Consider the following 9516-nt stretch of genomic DNA (forward strand, 5'->3'; position numbering starts at 1 on the left):
CAACCTACAAAATGGGAGAAAATTTTCGCAACCTACTCGTCTGACAAAGGGCTAATATCCAGAATCTACAATGAACTCAAACAAATTTACAAGAAAAAAACAAACAACCCCATCAAAAAGTGGGTGAAGGACATGAACAGACACCTTTTGAGACTATTTTCTAGATGTTGTAGGCATGTTTCATTGTTTTCTTTTTTCTTTTGTCTCCTCTGACCATTTTAAATGGTATTAAATGTATTTTAAAATAGCCTATCTTCAAGGTCACTAATTGTTTATTCTACTTGATCAATCTACTATTAAAAAACTCTGATGCATTCTTCAGTATGTCAGTTGCATATTTAACTCCAGAATTTCTGCCTGATTATTTTTAATTATTTCAACCTCTTTTTTCAGTTTGTCTGATATAATTATGCATTCCTTGTCTGAGTTCTATTGAATTTCTTTGTGTTTCCTCAAAACAGCTATTTTGAATTCTTTGTTTGAAAGATAATATGTCTTTGTTTCTCCAGGATTAGTTTCTGGTGCCTTATTTAGTTCATTTGGTGATTTCACATTTTCCTGGATGGTGTTGATGCTTGTGAACATTTGTCTGTGTCTGGGCATTGAAGAGTTAGGTATTCATTGTACTGTTCACTATCTGGGCTTGTTTGTACCTGTCTTTCTTCGGACAGCTTTCCAGGTGTTCTAAGGGACTTGAGTGTTGTGATCTAAGCTGTATTCACATTAGGAGGCATACCAAATCCAGTGACACTGTGACTCTTGCAGACTTGTAGAGGTACTTCCTTAATGATCTTGGGAAAAAAACCAGAATAATTCTCTGGATTACCATCAGAGGCTCTTGTTCTCTTCCTTTCCTTTTCCCCAATCAAATGGAGTCTCTCTCTCTGGACTGAGCTGCCTGGAGCTTTGGGGTGAGGTGACCCAAACACCACTGAGGCCACCACCACTGGGACTGCACTAGGGCAGACCTTAAGCCAGCACAGCACTAGGGCTTGTCCAAGGCCCACTGTAATCACTACCTGGCCACTGCTTATGTTTGCTCAAGGCACTGGGACTCTACAAACAGCAGGTGGCAAAGCCAGCCAGCCTTGTATCCTTCCCTTCAGGGTGGTGAGTTCTTGCAGGCCCCAGGCATGTCCAGGGGTACTTTCCAGGAGCCAAGAACTAGAGTCAAAACCTTAGAAATATACCCAGTGTTCTGTTGTACTGCAGGTGATCTGGCACTCACCACAAGATGCAGTTCTTCCCACTGTTTCTTCCCCTTTCTACAGGCAGAAGAGCCCTACCTTGTGGCAATCAACACTGCAGGCCCACAGGGAGTACTGCCAATGTTCTCTTAAAGCCCAAGGGCTCTTCTATCAGCTTGTGGTGAATGTTACCTGGCCTGGGACTCACCACCCTTCAGGGCAGTGGGCTCCCCTCTGGCCCAGGGCAGGTCCAGAAATGCCATCCAACAGCCAAGGCCCGGGATTGGGTACACTAAAAGCCCACTTGGTGCTCTACTCCCCTGTGACTAAGCTGGTATTTAAGGTTCGAGACAAAATTCCCTTTACTTTTCCCACTGCTTTTCTCAAGCAGGAGTCTCTCCCTGTAGCCACCACAGCTGAGGATGTGCTGAGTCACACCTGAATTCAGCAAGTCTCAAAGTCTCACCCAAGGCTCACAGCATAACCTAGGTATCACTGCTTGTTATTCAGGGCCCAAGGGATTTTCAGTCAGCAGGTCCTGCTAGGACTGGATCCTTCCCTTTAAGGCAGTAGATTGTCTCCTGGTTCAGGGTGTATCTAGAACTGTCATCTGTGAGCTAGGGCCTGAAAAGGGGACCTCTTGACTCTGACTGGTGCCCTTTCCTACTGTGGCTGAGCTGATATCCAAGATGTAAGACAAAGTCTGCTTTACTCTTCCCTCTCCTCTTCTGAAACAGATGGAAGGAGTCTCTTTTGGAGCTATGAGTTTTGCAGCCTGGAGTTAGGGGAGGGGTGGCACCAACATTCCCTTAGCCACCCTGGCTAGTGTGTCAGTAGGTTGTGTGCTTCCTAAATCCACTGACTCTTAACCCAGTTCAGCACTAGGACTAACCTAAGAATTGCAGTCCTTGTGGCCTAGACTGCCTTTCAAGGTTATTGAGGGCCCCAGTGAACTTTTGGCCCACAGTGGCAAGGCTTGCCAGATTCAATCCTGACTACTGGGATGGGTGGTTCCTCTCTGGCTAGGTCTGGTTTAAATAGTCCCTCTGTGAGTGGGCATCAGCTGGGTTCAGCCTGGTTTTGCTTTCTGCTTTGACAGGGCAGCTCTGAGTTCAATGTAATGTCTCACAATTGCTGCACTCTTTCTCTCCCAAGTGCACAGATTCTCTTTCTGTGCCATGCAGCCACTGCTGGGGGATAGGGGAGAGGCGGCATTGGCAATTCAAGACTGTCTTTCCTACTCTCTTCAGTACTTCTTTCAGCTGTATGAAGTTAAAAGCAAGTACTCTGAGTGCTCCCCTGATTTTTGGTTCTTATGAAGGGGCTTTTTTTTTTTTTTTCCTGTGTAGATAGTTGTTAAATTTGGTGTTCCTATGGCGGGGTAGGATGGGGGTAATTGTTAGAGCATTCTGTTCTGCCATCTTGCTCTGTCCTCAGGCCATTTCTTTCTTTCTGATCAGTTATGTTAAACTCTTGAGGTTCCAAAACACCCAACAAATTTCTTCAATGATGTATGTTTTTGTTTCTTTGAGCCCCTAGCCTCAGAGTTCCCTGATGTACTCAATCCGGAGGAATTGCCCCTTTACTCATCCTTGGCCACCCAGTTTCATGCCCACATCTTGAACATTGTTATTCACTCAAAACTGAACCTCTGAATCTCTGAAATCTTAAAGTTCAAAATCTTACTCTTTCACCATAGGTTCCTTGTCCTCCAGCTTTTTCTCCGCTTCATTTTTGCTGAACCTGTTCTTTAACACATTGAGGCCTCCAGTGTCTTTAACTCTCTCTTTTCTCCCAGTCTGCCATCTTCCTAACATCATCTGCTTTTTTTTTTTTTTTATCCAGCCTGGATCCCATTGTCTAGTACTTTAATCCATTCTTGTTTCCAGTCCCCTTGTTTCATGGAAACTGAATCCATACCACTTCTCTGCTCTTAGATCTAGGCTCCTGGGAATTTTTAGAAGAAAAAAAATGTCCCACAACTGTGTGGATCTGTGTCATTAGGAATTTCCAGTGAGCTCACTTAACATTTCCAGCCATGCCACTCTACTAGATGTTTACAAACAACATGCCACCTTGTCACTCTGAGTCTCATAAAGTGTATCTGCTGACTGAAATGCTCTTATGCATCTCCCCACCTCCACTTTTCTTTATCTGGCTCTCTCCACTCAGGCTGCAGGCCTCATCTTAGAGGTCACCTCTTCTAGGAAGCTTACTCCAAACCTCCTGCACACATTGGGTCAGGCTTCTTCTTGTCTGCCTTCTACCAACCTCTGATTACCTCTACTTGAACTCATCTCAACATAATATTGTTAGTCTGTATATCTACTTTCCCTTCTAAATTTTAAGCTCCTCAAGGACAGGTACCATATCTTAGTCATGTTTATGTCTCTAGTACTTAGAATAATGTTTATTTAATAAATGAGCAAATATATCAGTGAGTGAATGAGTGTGCAAGAAATTGACCTTTTCCGTGTGCGTATGCTGGTCATGATATATGACACTTTATATGAAAAGAAGAAAACCACCTCTAGGACACTGAAAAATCATTTCACTCCTACTCTCTCCCTTGGGCATTTTCATTGCCTATTAGGTAGAATAGCTAACCTTGGATCTCAGTAGTAAATGTTAGTCATATAGCCAGTTAGTGATGAGGCTGAACAAAAACCAAGTCCTCTGAAACCTAGGTCAGTTTTGAAATAATAAGGCCGTGTTGCTTTTTTGTTGTTAATTAAGGTGAAATGTACATGACCAAATTTAAAAGAAAATCTGTAGATAAAGAAAACATAGTCATTTTAATTATATAAAGTAGGCTATATTGACGTCACAGCATTAGAAAAAAGCATAAGTTCTCAATTTCTTCTCTAAAATCCTGAAATTCAAAAATTTCTGCAAACCTAAAAATTTTGTTGTATTCATTTTGCGACAAACCTGGACTGAGATTCCTTCTAGTCATTATTTAATTCTTAGAGTGAATATTCATATATTTGTTGCAGAAATGTTACTGTGTTTGATTATGAGATGCTACCCCAGACCCCATGGGAATGTCATGTAGTATTCAATATATCGTGTCATATTACCTTTCTAAATCCAAAAGAATCTGCATTCTCAAGCACATCTGGCCCCAAGGTACTGAGAACTGTGTAGTTGTTTCAGTTATTATTTTTTTTAGACTGTAGGTAACAACATGGCAACATAAATAGGCCATAGATAAATCATATAAATATATTTTTTGCCTTCATTCACCATTTCATTTATGCCCAGAGACATTTTTTTGATTAATTGGGAAAGAATTTGTTTCTTTGCCCCACATTTGTCTTACCTAGTGGAGCTCAGTGTCAACCCAGTAATACAGTTTTAGGGGAGAAAAGTTAGTATTATTTATCTTCAAAGTCATAATTTCAAAGGCAGACTTATCTTTCTCTGGGACCCACATGCTCAGAACCTTGTTTTTCTGTACAGCTAAGTAGCACTTACAAGGTCCTGGTATCTTCTTCTGCATGCTACCTAGCTTGAGCTGAGGATAGGATTATTTATCTGTCATTACCTCTTCATAATATTGTGTGCAAATCTTTCTTTTTTTCTGTCTTTGGATTTTTCTCTTTACCTCTGCCATGAACATTACTATTTTTTTTGGCTTATGTTTAGTTCTTTAGAAAGTAAAAGCCCTATAAGCATAAAAATCAACAAACATTTCCATTTCCTCTGTGGGATATAAAAAGTGATAAGGTAAGGTTCCAGTCTGAAGGAATTTACAAGCTTTGAGGAGAGAATGAGACAGGTTAGTGTAGTAGGAGAGAGATTGTACTTTAGATTTAGGTAGGTCTGGATTTGAATCCTGGTTCTACTACTGAGTAGTTTGGTGACCTCGGCAAGTTACTTTCCGTCTTGGTGCCTCAGTTTCCCCATATGAAAAATGGGAATGATAGAAATAGTACCTGCCTCATCAAGTCGTTAATGAAGATTAAATGAGATCATGCACGTGAAGTGCTTATTATGCACATAGGAAGTTTATCATACCTGCTGCTAGCCATTATTCACGAACACTGCAAAGTGGTCTAATGGAAAAAGCTTGTACTTTAGAGTCAAACAGACCTACGTTTAAATTCTAGCATCTCCATTACTAGTTATCTGTGACCTTGGGTGAATTATTTTACCTCTTTAAGCCCCAGATTAATCATTTGCAAAATAGGAAACACACTATCCACCTTCTAGGGTCGTTATGAGGATTTAATGAGAAAGTATATAAAGCACTTAGTGAAGTTCTTGGCATGTGGTAGCCTCTCAAGTGCCCCTTTACCAACTGTCCACACAAATACAAGGAGGTACGAGATTGTATACCCAATGACAACAGGAGTAAGTGAAGGTGCTTTGAAAATTGTAAATGCTAATACAATGTGAGCCATTACTGTGTAGATTTGAAGTTCATAGGAGGAAGGAATCCCTCTAAACTAGGAGTGGAAGAGCTGGCTTCCTAGACAAGATAATATCTAAACTTACCATTAAAGAGTGGGTAACATTGATGTCAGCACAGGGAAGTGGGAGAGCATTTCTGTTACAGATGGTCACATAATCAAAATGACTGTATAGAGAATAATAATGATGGTTATGATGATCAATATGAGCAAGCCAAGTGGAATAATTTCTATCGGATTTATTAAATCTGGTGAGTTAAAAATATCAGGTGGGAAAGTATAGTTATCTGGGCAAATATTTTTTTCCTTATAACCCTCCCATTGTTATTCTATCACTAATGAGAAATAAGGTTTCACTTGAACTTTTTATGTTACAGCGAACCGGCCGATGATTTACAAAGGCAGGACAACAGAGTTGTAACGGGTTTGAAGAAACAAAGAAGGAAGCGAAAGAGGAAGTCTGAAATGTTACAGAAAGCAGCAAGAGGACGTGAGGAACATGGTGACGAGTAGCAAGAGACCAAAGGTAATTGACAATAGGATATAAAGTTGAAGTGCTCAATCTCTGATTCTTGTTAGCTTTATATTTCTACCATCATCTTGGCTTGACTGACACATTTTTTTTAACCACACAAATGTTTGGATCACAGGAGGGCCAGCTTCTGAACAAATATTTATCACTAGAGATATTGAGATGGTAGGAAAATGGATAAGAAATGTGCCAAATTGTTTTGAGTGCCACATTATATGGTATACACAGGTCAGCTTTTCAGAGGGAGAAAAGAAGTTGATCCTGCCCACTCTGACTCTATGGCTCCCTGATAGACACCCTTGGTAAATAATGAAGGCCACAGTCCTCATATGTGACCACATCACATATCCAGGGGAAGGAGAATGGCCTTAGGAGTCTGACAGAGATGAGATTGAATCCTGGATCTTACCTGTTAGTCTCAGCTACCTGTTCTTCAAACCTGCACGATGTAGTGTTAGAAGAGGTTGAGAGAGGGATCCCAGAATCATACACTAGGGACTACTTTGTACAGGTTATACTTGTACAGGGTTATAGATCCCTAGCCTTGACTTGGGTCTCCTCCTCCCAAAATAACTGTGAAGGGACAAGTAAGAATAAAATGGTTGGTGAGAAACAAAGCTGTATCTCAGGGACTGGGAGTAAGGAGACCCAGGTCATTAACTAGTAGTGTTTCCATGGGCAGTGAAATTAACCTTTCAGTTCCTTGATACCATCATAGATTTTTTGTGTAACTTAAACAATATAATGTATGTGAAAATGTTTTGAAAATTGCAATGCAGTACCCAAAATTATGGTATTAAGTTACAGAGAAGCAAAGGAATGGAATGACAGGCCATTGAATTCCGTGTCAGGAGACTCTGGCTTTAGTCCCAGTTCTGCCATTATTTACAGTGTTTGCTTGAGCAAGTCCTTTAACTTTCTTGGGCTTCATTTCACCAATCTTCAGAATGAGAAGGTTGATTTGATGAATAGGAAAAGTGATTTATCTCAGAAGAAAAAAAAGAAAATCTTTATATAAGGTATCATATATATATATGGGATACATATTTACTTAAGGTAACACATAAATATGTATTACTATAATGCCTGTGTATTATTATTCATATAAATATATTACCTTGTATTAGTTTAATGCAATACATGTGTGCATATGTACACATGTACACACACATATATACATATGTAACATTATAACTAGACTAACAAAACTTGGTTTCTGTGGACCATTCACTGAGACATGGAAGTTAACTTTGTTATTCAGAAATTATCTCTGTAATGATATTTGCTCTAATCTGTTTTATATGTATGCCTCACAGTAACAGAAGATGATGTACTGGCAAACTGAAAATACATAAGTTAATCATAACATTCACTATATAGAATTTGATAATTTTGTTGCAGGGACTTCTTTTATGACAAAGTGCGATATGTGAATACCAGCCTTTTCAAGTTGTTTAACCCTACTTTACTTTTCTCCCATAGCATTATTTTCCCCTCAAGACAACAGAAACCATTCAGAGCAGAGGGGACTGTCTCAGCCATGCAAACCTCATGGAGCATTTTGGAAAGTTAAAAATTGATTCTTATTTTTGTCATGTTTACTTTCAAACATGAAATAAAATTGAGTTCTGTTTTCATGCATCAAACCAGAATCTGAATTCTTTTTATTAAAAACAGTTCCTACAGAATCTTTAAAAACATGCCTAAAACACCGGTGGCATTCAGATCCTAAAAAGTTACATGATTTTTGCAACTTGGGTTATTGTATCAACATATACTTCTGTTGGTACTAAATAAGACAGATGTTCCATATTGTTATTCACCTGTCAGCAAGCAGAGAGAAAAACCCCAATGATCATATGTTGCAGTGTGTGATACTTTGTTTATTTTGAGGAAAAGAGGTGAAGATAATTTGTAGGGTTTTTTTATTTTATAAATTATAATGTTATTTTTCCCACTATAAAAGTAAAATACACTTACAGGAAATTTGGTAAAGAAGAATATATAGGATAAAGGAAAAAATCAAATCATAATTTCACTAGTGCTAAATACTGTTACCTTGTTGTGTTTTCTTTTCTTTTTAAATAATTGTGTTCTGTGATATATATGAATTTATTATGCTGTTTTTAAAAATTATGTCTTATGATTCACTTTTTTCTTTTGAAATATGTGAGACTCAGGTTTACCTGGGCTTGTTACTCATTCATGTGGCAAACATTTATTGAGTTCCTGTTATGTGCCATGCACTCTGTGTGCTTGGAGATAGAGTCATGAGCAAGACAGACTTGGCCCTGTCTTGATGGAACTCACAGTATAGCTGGAGAGGAAGCCAGGTAAAGAAGTAATGACAGGGCTATGATAAGAAGAGTACCAAGTTCTGTGGCAGCACATAACAGGGGCACCTTGCCCCAGACTAGTAGTCGCTTGGAGAATGAGAAGAACTGAAAGGGGAGGACACTCAAGTTTCTCAGGATTCAGTTATGATATGAATAGATTGCAATTTTGAGGGAAGAAGTCTTGGTTTTTGGTGATCAGAAAAGAAAAAACTCTTATTACAAAAACTTTAGATAGATCCAAAGCTCGCAGATATAATGAGAATAAAAGAGTTCCTGTCAAACGGAGGTTCATAAAGACACCATACCTGGGAAATGTGCACATCTCCATATGTGCTCTATTGCAGGAGGCGTCATTTGAGCCAACAAAGCACAAAGCCCCACAATTGAAAATGCTTGCTGAAGGTAAGATCCACAACATGTGCATTGCAAGATTTATCAAGACAGCAGTATGATTACCTTCTGAAGAAGCTGTCGAGATGTTTGATAGACACCAGACAGAAGGAGACCTGTTGCAGATACCCTTTTGAATCAGGAGTCCAAACTTTTCAGTGCAACTCACTTGGATGCAAATGAAAATAATGCGGTCATTTATTCATTTCTTCAACAATATGAGCTAGGTACTGTGGTGCTGGGGAGACAGAAGCAAAAAAAAAATACAAAAATATCTGCCCTTATAGAGTTTACATTCTAGTGAAGTAGCCAGAAAAGAAACAAAATCAATCAGTAAAATACATAGTATGTTAGATAACGTGTGCTAAGGAGGAAAAAAATAAAGCAAGGAAAAGTACTAGGGAGTATGAGGGAAGTATGTAGTTTTACATAAGGTGGTCAGAGTAGGTCTCACTGAGAATATGGTATTTGAGTGAGAATCTCAGGAAGGAAGGGAGAGAAAGCTGTACAGATATCATTAGGGTGTGTATGTATGTGTATTATATATATATGAACATATCATATATACACAAATAAATGTATTATAAGAAATGGGCTCACATGATTATGTAGGTGGACAAGTCCCAAGATCTGCAGGGTGGGTCAGCAAGCTGGAG

The 9516-nt window shown here is 39.1% G+C and overlaps 1 protein-coding gene across 1 annotated transcript in view; it reads left to right on the top strand.

Annotated features, from left to right (window-relative positions):
- FMR1NB (FMR1 neighbor) overlaps window positions 1-7780 on the top strand; it is a 45329-nt gene extending 37549 nt beyond the window's left edge. The window contains exons 5-6 of the mRNA NM_152578.3: window positions 5980-6128; window positions 7617-7780. Of these exons, the coding sequence (NP_689791.1) occupies window positions 5980-6115 (136 nt within the window). The 3' untranslated portion in view covers window positions 6116-6128; window positions 7617-7780. The remainder of the gene's footprint in view (window positions 1-5979; window positions 6129-7616) is intronic.

The sequence above is a fragment of the Homo sapiens genome, chromosome X (genome assembly GCF_000001405.40).
Source record: "Homo sapiens chromosome X, GRCh38.p14 Primary Assembly".
Classification (NCBI taxonomy): domain Eukaryota; kingdom Metazoa; phylum Chordata; class Mammalia; order Primates; family Hominidae; genus Homo; species Homo sapiens.